Here is a 16,608-nt window from a genome sequence, read left to right as displayed (position 1 = left end):
GCGTGAGCCACTGTGCCCAGCCAACCTCCAGACATTGTTAAATGTCTCCTGTGGTAGAGGGAGCCAAACTGCCCTGGTTAAGAACAACTCATCTAAACCATATGTCAAATGCATTAGTGTGACCACTTAGGTTCTGAGGCAGGGGTTGTGAGAGGGACTGTGTGAGGAAAGGAAAAATATTAAAATAAAACAAGAGCAGAGTCTTGCACACAATGGTTATGATGTGCCATGAACTGAAGACAATGATTACCTCAACTATGGGTAGCTGAGGTCCAAATACAAGAAATAAAAGCAAACTAAAATTGGCCTTAATCCTCTGAATTGGTGAATGTTTATTGGTATTCAGTCAGCCACAACCTGAGTGTCTTTGAAGGCAAAGAAATTTAGTGCACAATATAATCTTTTGCACTTTTGCTTTCACTGTGACTTTAGATAGAGTGAAGAAGCCTTGGTGTTTCTTTAATGAGATGTATGAAAGCAATTTTTGAAGGGTGCAAAAGCTCTAGTGTCAGGAAGACTGTGTTGGATTAACCAACAGACAGACAAAACCTGTACTGCAGCGTTCAGTAAAGCAGACAGCAAACACTGCTGGAAAACAAGATTAGCCCCAAGGGACTTAACCTGGATTTTCCAATTAGAAACAGCCAGAAAGATGCCTTTAAAAATAAATAGTATAGTCATCCCCTCCATACCCATGGGTTCCGCATCTCTGGACTCAACCAGCCTTGGGTCAAAAATATTATTAAAAAAAATTGCAAGCTGGGTGTGGTGGCTCATGCCTGTAATCCCAGCACTTTGGGAGGTTCAGGCGGAGGGATCACTTGAGATCAGGAATTCAAGACCAGCCTGGCCAACGTGGTGAAACTCCATCTCTACTAAAAACACAAAATTAGGCAGGTGTGGCGGCACGTAACTGTAATCCCAGCTACTCAGGCGGCTGAGGCAGGAGAATCACTGGAACCTGGGAGAGGGAGGCTACAGTCAGCCAAGATGGTGCTATTGCACTCCAGCCTGGTTGACAGAGTGAGACTCTGTCTCAAACAAACAAAAAAAAAGGCAACTGTATTAAACATGTACGAACTTATTTTGATCATTATTTCCTAAGCAATACAGTGTAACAACTATTTACACAGCATTTACATTGTATTAGGTATTATAAGTAATCTAGAGATGATTTAAGGTATATGGGAGGATATGCATAGATTGTGTGTAAATACTATGTCATTTTATATCAGGGACTTGAGCATGCAAAGAATTGAGGAAGGTCCTGGAACCAATCCCCACAGATACAGAGACACTACTGTATTTTTGTTATGGACTGAATGTTTGTGTCCTCCCAAAACTCAAATGTAGAATCCCTAATTTCCAATGGGATAGCATTTAGAGCTAGGGCCTTTGAGAGGCCTAGGGTTAGATGAGTTCATGAGGTTCGAGCCCTCATGACAGGATTAATGCCCCTATAAAAAGAGAGGCTGGAGAGCTTGCTCTGTCTCCCACATATCCATCAAGAAGGGGCCATGCAAGCACACAGCAAGATGGCAGCCACCTAGAAACAAAGAAAAAAGGCTTCAGGATAAAAGGTACCTTGCTAGCACTTTCATCTTGGACTTCTCATTCTCTAGAAGTGTAAGAAATAAAGTTCTGTTGTTTAAACCTAGTCTGAGGCTGGGCGTGGTGACTCACGCCTGTAATCCCAGCACTTTACGAGGCCAAGGCAGGCAGTTCACAAGGTCAGGAGTTCGAGACCAGCCTGGCCAACATGGGGAAACCCCATCTCTACTAAAAATACAAATATTAGCTGAGCGTGGTGGCGTGTGCCTGTAGTCCCAACTACTTGGGAGGCTGAGGTGGGAGAATCGCTTGAACCCAGGAGGCGGAGGTTGCAGTGAGCCGAGACTGTGCCATTGCACTCCAGCCTGGGTGACAGTGAGACTCTGTCTCAAAAAAAAGAAAAAAAAGAAAAAGAAAAAAAAAGAGTAGCATATTATTAAAAGGTACTAATAGTCAATAAGAAAGCTTCAGTGGCTATTAATATTAGATAAAATAGACTTCAAGATAAGGAGTACTACAAGAGACAAAAAGGAAAAGGGCAGTAGGATGGAATATATATATATGCCCACTAACAACGTATGACAAATGTATAAAGCAAAACTTGATAGAAATGAGAAGAAATAGACAAACCTACAAAGTTAGAGATTTTAATGCACTTCTCTCAGTAATAGAACAACTTAAAAAAATGGTAGGTTTACAGAAGATCTGAAAGACACTATTGACATCCTTAACTTAACTAACATTTATAAAATATCATGCCCAACAATTGCAAAATACACTTTCTTTTCAAGGTTACATGGAACGCTCACCAAGATGGACAATATCTTGAACCATAAAACAAGTCTCATTCAATTTCAAACTATAGAAATCTGGCCAGGTGCAGTGGCTCACACCTGTAATCCCAGCACTTTGGGAGGCCGAGGAGGGTGGATCACCTGAGGTCAGGAGTTCGAGACCAGCGTGGCCAACATGATGAAACCCTGTCTCTCCTAAAAATACAAAAATTAGCTAGGCGTGGTGGTGAGCCGCTGTAATCCCACCTACTGAGGAGGCTGAGGCAGGAGAATTGCTTGAAACCAGGAGGCGGAGGTTGCAGTGAGCTGAGATCGCACCACTGCACTCCAGCCTGAGCAACAAGAGCAAAACTCCATCACACACACACACACACACACAGACACACAATCTTATGGCATATATTGTCTGACCACAACGGAAATGAATTGAAAATCAACAAAAATAAAACAGCTAGAATAGTTAGAACATACTGGCCGGGCACGGTGGCTCATGCCTGTAATCCTAGCACTTTGGGAGGCCGAGGCGGGTGGATCACGAGGTCAGGAGATGGAGACCATCCTGGCTAACACGGTGAAACCCCGTCTCTACTAAAAATACACAATATTAGCCAGGCGTGGTGGCGGGCGCCTGCAGTCCCAGCTACTTGGGAGGCTGAGGTGGGAGAATGGCATGAACCCGGGAGGTGGAGCTTGCAGTGAGCTGAGATCGGGTCACTGCACTCCAGCCTGGGCGACAGAGCCAGACTCCATCTCAAAAAAAAAAAAAAAAAAAAAGAATAGTTAGAAAATAAACAACTTGCTGCTAAAGAATCCACTGGTCAAAAACATAAATCACAAAGGATATTAGAAAATATTCTGAACTGTCTCTGGGTTTAAAAAGAAAAAAAAATAAAATATTTTGAACTGAAAGATAATAAAAACAACATCAACGTTTGTAGGATTTTATAACGTTAAATGTTTATAAGAAAACAAGTTATATCTCAAATCAATGATACAACGTCCACCATAAAAAAAGAAGATTAAGCTAAACTTGAAGAAAACTGAAGGAAAATATAATAAAGAAAAGAGAAGAAATTGGTGAAATTGGAACCAGAAAAAAATAAAGATAATCAATAAAATCAAGAACTGGTTATTTGTGAAAAAAATCAGTAACATTGATTTTAAAAGCTCTAGAGAAAAGACACAAAATTCCCAATATCAAGAATAAAAAGGAGCCATCACTTCAGATCCCACAGACATTAAAAGAGTAATAAGAGAATATTATGTGGTAGCTCACGCCTGTAATCCTAGCACTTTGGGAGGCTGGGGCAGGAGGATTGCTTGAACCTAGGAGTCCAGGAACAACCTGGGCAATATAGCAAGACCCTGTCTTCATAGGGAAGGAAAAAAAAAGAATAGATAGCTTGACTAGCCTATAGCTTATAAGAAATTGAATTCATAGTTAAAATCTATGAAAATCTTTTCCTAAAAAGAAAATTCTAAGCCCAGATGGCTTCAGCAGTGAATCTATCAAACATTTCAGGAAAATATAATACTAACTGTACACAAACTGAATCTATGAAACATTTTAGGAAAATATACCAACTGTACACAAACTCAGAAAAAAAAGAAAAAAAATACTTCTGAACTTATTTTATTAGGTTAGTGTTACCTTAATGTCAAAATCAGACAAAATATTACAAAAATAGTAAACAAACTCAGATCAATATTCCTCATAAACATAGATACAAAAGGCTGGGCATCGTGGCTGACACCTATAATCCCAGCATTTTGGGAGGCTGAGGCGGGCGGATCACCTGAGGTCAGGAGTTTGAAACCAGCCTGACCAACATGGCGAAACCCTGTATCTACTAAAAACACAAAAATCAGCCAGGCATTGTGGTGGGCGCCTGTAATCCCAGCTACTGAGGAGGCTGAGGAATGAGAATCACTTGGATCCGGGAGGCAGAGGTTGCAGTAAGCCGAGATCAGGCCACTACACTCCAGCCTGGGAAACAGAGTGAGACTGTCTCAAAAAAAAAGAAGATACAAAAATCCTTAACCAAATATTACCGAATTGAAACAAGCAATTAATGAAAAGAAGACGTTATGATCTAGTGTAGTTTATCTCAGGAATAAAGGTTGTTTAACATTTAAAACCAATCGATATAATTAATTGTATTAACAGACTAAACAAGGATAAAACTTCATCTCAATAGACGCAGATAAAGCATTTGACAAAATCCAATGTTCCTTTATATTAAAAACACATAGCAGGCTGGGCACGGTGGCTCATGCCTGTAATTCCAGCACTTTGGGAGGCCGAGATGGGCAGATCACCTGAGGTCAGGAGTTTGAGACCAGCCTGGCCAACATGATGAAACCCGGTCTCTACTAAAAATACAAAAAACAAACAAACAAACAAAAAACATTAGCTGGGCGTGGTGGCATGTGCCTATAATCCCAGCTACTCTGGAGGCTGAGGCAGGAGAATGGCTTGAACGTGGGAGGTAGAAGTTGCAGTGAGCCAAGATCACGCCATTGCACTCCAACCTGGGCGACAGCCAGAGCGAGACTCTGTCTCAAAAAAAACAAAGCCCAAAAAACAAAACTCCAGCAAATTAGGAAGAGAAAGGGACTTCCTCAATCTGATAAAAAGTATCTATAACAAAACCTACAGCTACATTATACTTAATGGCAACAAACTGAACACTTCCTCCCTAAGATTTGGAACAAAGCAAGGATGTCTGCTATGGCCAGTCCTACTCAGCATTGTACTGGAAGTCCTTTGTAAAAACAAACAAACTGGCCCGACGCGGTGGCTCACATCGGTAATCCCAGAACTTTGGGAGGCCGGAGGTGGGAGGGAAATCATGGGGTCAGGAGTTCGAGACCAGTCATAGTGAAACCCCGTCTCTACTAAAAATACAAAAATTAGCCGGGCGCGGTGGTGCGCGCCTGTAGTCCCAGCTACTGGGGAAGCTGAGGCAGGAGAATCACTTGAATCTGGGAGGCAGAGGTTGCAGTGAGCCGAGATTGCGCCACTGCACTCCAGCTGAGTGACAGAGTGAGACTCCATCTCAAAAAAAAAAAAAAAAGCTAAGGAATATAAAAAAAAAATACTATAACAACTACATGATCTTATCAATGTTGTAGAATCCAAAGTCAACATTAAAAAAATTATGTTTTGATATGTTAGCAATAAACCATTGAATGGAAAAATTAAGAAAACAACTATTTACTAGATCATCACACAATAAGAAATACTGAGGGATAACAAAAGGCTTACAAGACCTGTATTCTAAAAACTGAGAGTATTACTGAGAAAAATTAAAGAAAACCTAAATAAAATGGAGATATATCATCTGCATAAATCAAAATACTTAATATTTTCAAGATGTAAATTCTCCCCAAATTGATTTTATAGATTCAATGCAATGCCAGTGAAAATCTGGCAAAATTTTTCTATTTTGTAGAAGTTTCCAAGCTGATTCTAAAATTTATATGGAAATACAAGGGACCTAGAATAGCTAAAGCCCAGTTGGGAAAAAAAAAAAATAACAAAGTTAGAGGACTCGCCAGGCGCAGTGGCTCATGCCTGTAATCCCAGCACTTTGGGAGGCAGAGGAGGGCAGATCACTTGAGGTCAGGAGTTTGAGACCATACCGGCCAACATGGTGAAACCCCATCTCTACTGAAAATATAAAAATTAGCCTGGCTTGGTGGTGTGCACCTGTTTAATTCCAGCTACTTGGGAGGCTGAGGCAGGAGAATTTCTTGAACCTGGGAGGTGGAGGTAAGCCTTCCAGTGAGTCAAGGTGGCACCACTGCACCCCAGTCTGGGCAACAGAGCAAGACTCTGTCCGACTCCCCACCACACACACACACAAAGAACACTTAAAACTCAATAATAAAAGACCAAAGACCCAATCCAGTACAAAAAAAAATGTGGTGGGGCGGGAGGCAAACAAACTGAACAGGCTCTTCACCAAACTAGCCATGAGGATGGCAAAAAAGTACATTGAAAGTAGGCTGAACGTCATCATTCAATGAAAATTAAAACCTCATTGAGATACCACTACATATCCATTATCATAGCTAAAGTTAAAAAGACTAGCGTTGGCAATGACTTAAAACAACTGGAACTCTCATTTACTGTTGGTGGAAATGTAAAATGGCACAACTACTTTGGAAAACAGAGTTTGGCAGTTTCTTCAATGTTACTCATACACTTCCCAAGTTAGTATTGTCAGATAAGGGACATATTTTAGACAAATAGTGAATAACTTGTCAATATAGGCTCTAAATATTGCATGGGATATATGTATCCTAAAAAATTACTTCTTATTTATCCGAAATTCAAGTTTAAATGGATGCCTTGTATTTTTATTTGCTAAATCTGGCAAATCTACTTCCCATACAACCCAGACATTTCACCTCCATGTAATTACCCAAGAGAAATAAAAATATGTCCACGTGTACACCAATGTTTACAGCAGCCTCTCTTTCTCTCTCTTTCTTTATTTCTCCCTTCCTTCCTTCCTTCCTTTCACAGACTCCCACTCTGTTGCCCAGGCTGGAGTGCAGTGCTGTGATTTCCGATCACTGCAACCTCCACTTCCCAAGTTCAAGTGATTCTCATGCCTCAGCTTCCCAAGAAGCTGGGATTACAGACACGCACCACCATGCCCAGCTAACTTTTTGTATTTTTAGTAGAGATGGGTTTTCGTCATGTTGGGCAGGCTGGTTTCAAACCCCTGACCTGAGGTGATCCACCTGTCTCGGCCTCCCAAAGGGCTGGGATTACACGCATGAGCCACTGCACCCAGCCCATAGCAGCTCTCTTTGTAATATGTCCCTAACTGGAACTAACCCAAATGCCCATGAACAAGAAGTCTGGATAAAAAAATTATGGTATATTCATACAATGGCATATTATTCAGCAATAAGAAGGAATGAACTATTAATACACACGTAACACAGTTGAATAATTATGCTGAGTGAAAGAAGCCAGACCAAGAAGAGTACCTATCAATTGATTCTATTTAATTCTAGAAAACGCAAACTAACCTATAGTGACAGAAAGCTGACCAATGATTGCTTGGGCGAAGTGTGGGGGTAGAAGGCAGGGAGGGAAGGATGCTTTTCAAACTTCTGGGTGTGATGGATACACTTACCATCTTGATTGTGGTGAGGATTTTATAGGCATAGACCTATGCCAAAACTCATCAAATCATATTTTTCAAATATGTGCAGCTTATGGTGGGTCAATTGTACCTTAATGAAGCTGTACAATTTTATTTGTAATGTTCTTGTATGAGTTTACTCTGTATACAATAGTTTGTGAAACTCCATGGCCAGTAAAACAAACATCTTACTCACTTAAAGAGATAGGGCCAACAAATCTAAAAGCTAAATAAAAGCACAAGTGTTAAACAAGATGAAACAGGAGATAATATTTGTAAATATTAAAGCAATGTGTTTTAATGTCCCTTTGAACTCATGTTCCTTTGCAGCTTTCTTGGAGACAGCCCTGACACTTGTAACTAGAGAGCTGAAAAGATCTGTTACCTGACTTTATTTTATTTTTTGAGACAGAGTCTCGCTCTGTTGCTCAGGCTGGAGTGCAGTGGTGTGATCTTTCCTCGCTGCAACCTCCGCCTCCCAGGTACAAGTGATTCTCCTGCCTCAGCCTGCTGTGTAGCTGGAATTACAGATGCATGCACCACCACGCCTGGCTAATTTTTGTATTTTTAGCCAAGATGGGGTTTCGCCATGTTGGCCAGGCTGGTCTTGAACTCCTGACCTCAGGTGATCTGCCCACCTCGGCCTCCCAAAGTGCTGGGATTACAGGCGTGAGCCACCGTGCCTGGCCGTAGAGGAATCTTTTAACACCCATGAAAGCCGGAAGTGGGGCCTGTGAGAGAGAGGAAATGGGTGAAAGTGCTCAGAAGCAAAGTCAAAACCAAGAGAAGGGACTACAGGTTTATTGAGCGCAGATGTTAGCATCAGAGGCTGTCCCAACGACTAGGTAGTATAAAGACATTATACACATCACCACAAGCAGCTGGCAGGCTCTACCCTTACATCTACTTACAGAGGAATTGTGCGTATGTGTTGGAGGGATTCTGAGAGAGATGGCATTTTACCTAGAGAAATGGAGCATTAGCCAAAGGCACTGTGTAAATTTATTATATCGGACTAACTAGTTTCCTCACCCTACTCCTCTATGCATCCCCATCGATATCCAGAAGATGCTCACTCAAAAAAAAAATAATAAAAGTTAGTTCATAGACAAAATAAAGGAAATGCATTCCAAATGCACACCCAAGTGTAGTGGAAATAAATTTGCAACCCCATTACCAACATAATACGAGAAATATTTGAAGGCATTCAGTAGCCGGGCTCGGTGGCTCACCCAGCACTTTGGGAGGCCGAGGTGGGCGGGTCACTTGAGGTCAGGAGTTCGAGACCAGACTGGCCAACATAGTGAAACCCCGTCTCTACTAAAAATACAAAAATTAGCCAGGCATGGTGGCGGGTGCTGAGGCAGGAGAATCACTTGAACCTGGCAGGTGGAGGTTGCAGTGAGCCAAGATTATGCCACTGCACTCCAGCATTCCAGCCTGGGCAACAGAAACTCTGTCTCAAAAAAAAGAAGAAGAAGGAGAAGGAGGGGAAGAAGAAGAAGAAGGAGAAGAAGAAGAAGAAAGATGTCAACTTAAAATCACAAGATTTATGAATTTATAAAGGAGAACTTGATTTCTTATGATAGGTTGCAACATTGCAAGCTGAGAAGTGGAGCCTCCGATTGATACTGAACACAGGCACGTCACCAGAGGAAGGGTGGACCGGGTTTTATGCTAAATGGGTTGGCTAAATATATGTTTTGTTTTGTTTTTGTTTTTGAGAAGGTGTCTTGCTCTGTCATCCAGGCTGAAGTGCAGTGCCGCGATCTCGGCTCACTGCAGACTCCACCTTCCAGGTTCCAGCGATTCTCCTGCCTCAGCCTCCCGGGTAGCTGGAATTACAGGCATGTGCCACCACGCCCAGCTAATTTTTGTATTTTTAGTAGAGAAGGGGTTTCACCACATTGTCCAGGCTGGCCTCGAACTCCTGACCTCAGGTGATCTGCCCGCCTCAGCCTCCGAAAGTGCTGAGATTACAGGTGCAAGCCACCGTGCCCAGCCTAAATATATGTATTTAACAGGTTATAGGAGAAGCTACAAATACTCATGAAGGGTGGTCACGTGCATGCGTGGTAAGCAAACATGTGTTATATACATTCCATGTTCACTTTGGGGTGGAGACTTAACATTAAAATGCAGTAAAATTAGGTCTATATGTCAAAAGGTGAAACAAAGACACTCTGTGCACAGCTTCCATAGACCAGCCAGAACCAGTGCATGGTTGGTGGTCATTTATCAGGAAGGAATGCTTTGTAAACCAGTCAGCTGTCATGTCAAAATCTCAAAACGAGAGGGGAGTCCAGCCTTGGCATCAAGAGGTTAATTGAAGTCAGTGGAGGAATCATCCATTCTTTTTTTTCCAAGGCTTCTTTGCATTTAATGGTTGGGGAAAAAAAAACGTCTGGTGACAGTGAGGAAGGGGACTCACTGAAGTGTGACTGACCTTCCATCTTGTCATGGTTGGAAACGTAGTATTTGTGAAGAGTTTTTCTAAGGTCTCCTTGGCCAGTAAGAGTCTGTTCAGTTGATCAGGGGGCTTAGGATTTTACTTTTCTTTTTTTTTTTTTTTTTTGACACAAGTCTCTGTTGACTAGGCTGGAGTTCAGTGGCAGGTTCACTGCAGCCTCTGCCTCCCGGGCTCAAGCAATTCTTCTGCCCCAGCCTCCCAAGTAGACACGGGGTTTTGCCATGTTGCCCAGGCTGGTCTTGAACTCCTGACCTCAAGTGATCCTCCCGCTTCAGCCTCCCAAAGTGCTGGGATTACAGGCATGAGCCACCATGCCTGGCTGGATCTTACTTTTATTTCACAAGGGGAATGACTGGTAGTATTAAGTGCAAGATAGCCTTAGGTATGGGGGCTGAGCCTTGATGGACGGGCAGGATTTTGGACAGGTAGGTAGGAAAGGGCATGCCAGGTGGGAAGAACTGATGAGCAAGGGCATGGGGGTGAGGATGTGCCTATGGTGTTTCAGGGAACAGTGGGAGACAGAAAGGAGCAGAGGGCTGCTGTTGATGAGAATGGCCCATGGTGCCCAGGTGGTTAGCATGACCCAGGAAATTATCTGTGAAGGAGCTCAGAAGAGGCAGCCTCTCTACAGGCCTGGACTTGCCTTCTGGAAACTTTGCAAATAGAAAGCCAGAGAATGTGGCCACCAGAACGAATGTCAGTTGATTTCTCCATGGGTCAAGAAACTGAAAGTGGCCATCTGATAGCTTGCAGAGCAGTAAACAGCTTGAGCATCACTTACGGAAACCCAGATTATTCTTCAGGGGACAAACCTGGGGCCTTAGAAACACTAATGGTCATTCTCATTGTGGTCAACATAAGAAAACGAGGGACTTCAAACAAAAGATGGCTGGCACCCTGTAAGGAGAGCTCTTATTTTCTAGTGTCTGTTCATTCCATGAAGACTACGTACTGGATTGAGTTCTGAGAACCGGCCTAGTTCATATTTCATGTCACCTCCTGTGGCCAAGCCGCTCAGCCAGGCAGAACATCTTGCTGAGGGCCCACAGAATCAGGAAGGGTGTTAACTAGTGGGCTGTGATGCGTGGGCACAGCCTGTTTCCCGACACTGTTTTTAATTAATTAGCCATGACAGGCACCCAATCTCTCCCCTCTGACTCTGGCCTCCCATCCTGGGATGCACCCCAGGTGTCCTGTCTGCACCTGGAGTGCCAGCGTGTCTCAGGGAAATGCTGGTTTGTGAAGCCCCTGTCCTATTCTTCCCCAACATGGCGCAGAGATTGTAAATGCCAGACTCACAGCTTTCAAAAGCAGGAAGAGGAGACTTTGGGCAGGATCACAGACAAAGGCAGCCAGGACAAGCCCAGGAGCCTGCAAGGGGGTTTTCCACACTGGTTATATATGAAGGTCCTGCCTTCACCTCCAAATAAAAATGCAATGACCAAAAGCTAGTAAGGGATCAGTAACCATTTTAGATGAATAATGTCGATTAACATTTCAAGAGTGCGATGGGCTACATTGGAGACAATGCCTTCAAAGATGGGTTTATTATAAAATGAGGTTTTTAGGGTGGTCCTATTCCAACAGGATGGCCCTATTAGAAGAGGAAATTTGGGGCAGGCATGGTGGCTCATGCCTGTAATCCCAACACTTCGGGAGGCCAAGGAGGGCGGATCACGAGGTCAAGAGATCAAGACCATCCTGGCCAACATGGTGAAACTCCATCTCTACTAAAAATACAAAATATTAGCTGGGCGTAGTGGCACAGGCCTGTAGTCCCAGCTACTTCGGAGGCTGAGGCAGGAGAATTGCTTGAACCCGGGAGGCGGAGGTTGCAGTGAACCGAGATCCCACCATTGCACTCCAGCCTGGGTGACAGAGCGAGACTCCGTCTCAAAAAAAAAAAGAAAATTAAAAAGAAGAGTAAATTTGGACACACAGAGAGACACGAAGGGCGCTGGGGGACGACCAACCACATGAGAACACAGAGAGAAAGATCTGTCTGCAAGCCAAGGAGAGAGGCTGCAGAAGAAACCAAACCTGGCAACACCTTCATCTTGGACTTCCAGCCTCCTGAACTGTGAGGAAATAAATTTCCATTGCCATGGAAAAGCCACCCAGTCTGTGGTATTTTGTTGTAGCACGTCTCACAAGCGAATAACAGAATCACAAATGTAGGCGAAAAAATAGTACTTATTAAGACTTAGGGAATGTTTCTAGGAATTCTGTGAAGGCTTGTTGTAATAATTTCACCACCCAAAGGGTATCTGGGACTTCGAAGTCTGAAAGTCCACAGAGCAGGGAAACCTGGCCCGTTCCCGGCATCGTGTAACTCTCAGAAGCCAGACTCACTTCACTGGCCTAAATCTGTCATCTCAGGCTGTCTTCAGAGTCTGAAGTACAACAGGTTTTTTTTTGGGTTTTTTTTTTTTTTTTTTGAGACCAAGTCTTGCTCTGTCACCCAGGCTGGAGTGCAGTGGCGCAATCTCGGCTCACTGCAACCTCCACTTCCCAGGTTCAAGTGATTCTCCTGTCTCAGGCTCCTAAGTAACTGGGATTACAGGCGCACACCACCACGCACAGCTAATTTTTGTATTTTTAGTAGAGACGGGGTTTCACCATGTTGGTCAGGCTGGTCTTGAACTCCTGACCTCGTGATCTGCCCGCCTTGGCCTCACAAAGTGCTGGGATTACAGGTGTGAGCCATCGTGCCAGGCCAAATTTTTTTTTTTTTTTTAACCCAAGATGGGCACAGAAACTTCTGCCCCTTCCCTATTCATTCCAAATGCTCCAAAACCCAGCTCAGGTTTCCTCTCCTTCAGGAAGTGGATGAGAACTGATACTCTGACCTGGTACTTTCATCAGAGGCGTTCAAACCAGGGGGACTCCATCTTGAATAGGGGCAAGGTAAAATGAGGCTGAGACCTGTTGGGCTGCATCCGTAGGATGTTAGGCATTCTTAGTCACAGGATGAGATAGGAGGTCACAAGATACCGGTCACGAGGACGCTGCTGATAAAACAGGATGCAGTAGAACAGCCAGTCAGAACCCGCCAAATCTAAGATAGCAATGAAAGTGACTTCTGGTGGTCCTCACTGTGCATTATGCACTAATTATAATACGTTAGCATGCTAAAAGACACTCCCACCAGTGCTGTGACACTTTACAAATGCCATGGCAACTCCGGAAGTTACCCCACATGGAACTAAAAGGAAGAGAGACCTAAGAGAGTCTAAAAGGAAGAGAAATCCTTAGTTTCAGGAATTCCAAGCCCCTTTCACAGAAAATTCATGAACAATCCACCCCTTGTTTAGCGTATAATCAGGAAATAACCATAAAAATAGCCAACCAGGGCCGGGCGCAGTAGCTCACACCTGTAATCCCACACTTTGGGAGGCCGAGGCAGGCGATCACTTGAGGCCAAGAGTTCAAGACCAGCCTGGCCAACATGGTGAAACATCGTCTCTACCAAAAATACAAAAAATAGCCAGCCGTGGTGACACGTACCTGTAATTCCAACTACTCAAGAGGCGGAGGCAGGAGAATTGCTTGATCCCGGGAGGCCGAGACTGCAGTGAGCCGAGATTGTGCCACTGTACTCCAGCCTGGGCAACAGAGTGAGACACCGTCTCAAAAAAAAAAAAAAAGCCAACCAGCAGTCCTTGGGACCTTGGGCTGCTCTGCCTATGGAGTAGCCATTCTTTTATTTCTTTACTTTCTTAACAAACTTCTTTCACTTTAATCAGTGGACTCGCTCTGCATTCTTTTTTGCGCAAGATCCAAGAACCCTGTCTTAGGGTCTGGATTGGGACTCCTTTCTGGTAACACTTTCCTTGTTATTCTGTAAGCAGGGATCCTAGCAAGTCCCCATCTATGCACCGGAAATAGTCGGAGAATACTCCACCTCCCAGGAAGCCATTTGCAGACTAGCATGTGCACAGGGGCTGAAATGTCCTCTGGGAAGATATCTTGACTGCTGTTCAGTGGGACTCATGCACAGACATGCCCGACAGATTTGAGGGCCACTGGTGGGGAAGGGCTTACAGGAGCTGAGGAGGATATTGACCCTAGGGAGCTGTGACCCATGCTGATCCACCAGCCCTGAGGGCTGCAAGGGAGAACTGTTGGGTTTACTGTTATAACTACCAGAGGATCTTTTCTTTTTCTTTCTTTTTTCCTTTTAATTTCTTTTCCTTTTTTTTTTTTTTTTTTTTTTTTTTTTTTTTTTTGAGTTGGAGTCTGGCTCTGTCGCCAAGGCTGGAGTGCAGTGGCGCCATCTTGGCTCACTGCAAGCTCCGCCTCCCGGGTTCACGCCATTCTCCTGCCTCAGCCTCCCGAGTGGCTGATTACAGGTGCCCACCACCACACCCAGTTAATTTTTTGTATTTTTAGTAGAGACGGTTTCACTGTGTTAGCCAGGATAGTCTCGATTTCCTGACCTCGTGATCCGCCTGCCTCGGCCTCCCAAAGTGCTGAGATTACAGGCATGAGCCACTGTACCTGGCCTTTTTTTTCTTTTCTTTTACCTTGTCTTTTCTTTTCTTTGAGACAGGGTCTCCCTCTGTCACACAGACTGGAGTGTAGTGTGGCACAGTCACAGCTTACTGCAGCCTGAACCTCCCGGGCTCAAGCAATCTTTCCACCTCAGCCCCCTAAGTAGCTGGGACTACAGGCGTTCTCCACCATGCCTGGCTAATTCCTGCATTTTTTGTAGAGATGGGTTCTCACCATGTTGCCCAGGCTAGTCTCGAACTCCTGACCTCAAGTGATCCACCCTCCTCGGCCTCTCAAAGTGCTGGGATTACAGGTGTGAGCCACCGGGCCCAGTCCAGAGGATCTTTTCTTGAGCCTGCCATTCTGGAAACATTTCAAAATTGAAAGAACTGTTTCACTAAATTGTGACTCTCTGGGGCCCTACCGGGCTGTGGAGTTCACTAATTGAGTATAAATGAGGGAGAGAATATTTTCTATCCTCATTCCTCTTGTGAAAGCAACTGCTGTAAGTCAGAACCTTGCTTAGTACACTAAATACACTGCTTGGCGAGTAATAGGAACATGATAGATGTTTGCTATGTGAATAAATAAGTCAAGCTGTCCTGCATCATGAAGTTCAAGTTCACTGTTATTTATTGGTGAATCTCCGCTGCAGTTCCCCAGATGACCAGCCTGAGTCGATCAATAGGTGCTGAGCCTGAACTTAGAGTGGGGCCCTGGCAGAGCTGTGAGGACCAGCAGCTGGTGGTGGTGATGAGGGGCATGCCATAACACTAAGCAACATCAGGATTATTTACAAACCCTCTTCTGGGAAGGGAATTTCCTCATGAGTACAGGAACCATTGCAAATCAGATAGCAATATTGACATGACCACAATTGCATTCTCAGGGTATTGAAATCTGAGACCTTAGGCTTCTATTTCACTGAATTCTTATAATACCACTGCAAGTTGAGGTATACATTTCCTGATTTTATGGATAAATAAACTACTGTTACAATAATACTGTGGAACAAGCAACCACAAAATCTCAGAGTCACAAACATTTATATTTCACTTGGGCACCTGTAGGTTGGCTGTGATTTAGCTCATCTAAGCTGGACTCAGCTGGGCTGGGTTCCAGGCTCTGCAGTAGGTCCAGTGTATACAGCACCCTTGATGTAAGTAACTCCATCTTAGAAAAATACTTCAACTTACTTTTCAAAAGGCATCAAGCCAGCTGGGCTCAGATGTTCTCCTAATCAACAGAGATAACACCCAAAAAGATAAGGGCATAACCTTTTACTATCAGTCCTCAGCAGAGGACTCCAGGGCCATAAAATGAGCAGAACATCACCAGCTAGGAATGGCCTTCTTGACAGACTCTGTCTTGCTGTCACTCATTATTAGCACCTGGCATCTGCTGCTGAAGGCTCTGCCCACATTAAGGACTGTTCTTGCCAGACATTGATGACTGTCGGGGTCAGGCCGGGACACTCTCCTTGTCCACGTAACTCTCCTTGGACTGGTTCATTAACCCCTTCTCCTATTCCTTTTTCTCTTCATGTTAAATGTTACTCTGTTTTGTGTGAAATATTAATCTAGAACATTTATATATTGATTAAGCATACTATTATTATTTATGGTTTGCAATATTGACTGACTGTGGAATAGCTTGAACCTGTGTGCCCACAGCTCTGACTACTGAGTAAACAGGTAATACTCAAGAGAATTGTTAGCCAGGCACGGTGGCTCATGTCTGTAATCCCAGCATTTTGGGATGCTGAGGAAGGAGGATTGCTTGTGTCCAGGAGTTGGAGACCAGCCTGGGCAATACAGCAAGACCCTATCTCTAAAAAAAAAAAAAAAGCCTCCTTTGGAGCTGCATGTATCTTGTGGCTCTTATGATCGAAATGGTGTCAGTAAAAGTCTTACCTTATGGAAAGACTCAGATGTGTGTGGACCTGGTTATGTCTGACTTTGCGCAGCTCACAACATCCACACTTGCTCTATGTATTTTTATTCTTCTGGGATCAGTGGGCAAGTGAGGCATGTTCATCTTAAATGGGATCAGAGTATGCCACACCAAAAAATGCACCTTGACATAAGGATGATTAAGACTCAGTAGTTGCAAAAGAATTCTTACTCTCCCCTTT

The 16,608-nt window shown here is 43.8% G+C and overlaps 1 protein-coding gene across 4 annotated transcripts in view, besides 1 other annotated feature; it reads left to right on the top strand.

Annotated features, from left to right (window-relative positions):
* SEL1L3 (SEL1L family member 3) overlaps positions 1-16,608 on the top strand; it is a 149,603-nt gene that overhangs the window by 124,621 nt on the left and 8,374 nt on the right. The gene's annotated exons all lie outside the window — the stretch shown is intronic.
* Positions 12,712-13,911: an enhancer, noted in NCBI's record as "CDK7 strongly-dependent group 2 enhancer chr4:25726657-25727856 (GRCh37/hg19 assembly coordinates)". NCBI's record gives its function as "activates an origin of replication core promoter dependent on BRD2, BRD4, P300/CBP, MED14 and CDK7 cofactors, with strong dependence on CDK7, by STARR-seq in HCT116 cells {active_cell/tissue: HCT116}" and the evidence as "EXISTENCE:reporter gene assay evidence [ECO:0000049][PMID:35650434]".

Source organism: Homo sapiens, chromosome 4 (genome assembly GCF_000001405.40).
Source record: "Homo sapiens chromosome 4, GRCh38.p14 Primary Assembly".
Lineage (NCBI taxonomy): Eukaryota > Metazoa > Chordata > Mammalia > Primates > Hominidae > Homo > Homo sapiens.
This window is presented reverse-complemented; position numbering and strand designations above follow the sequence as displayed.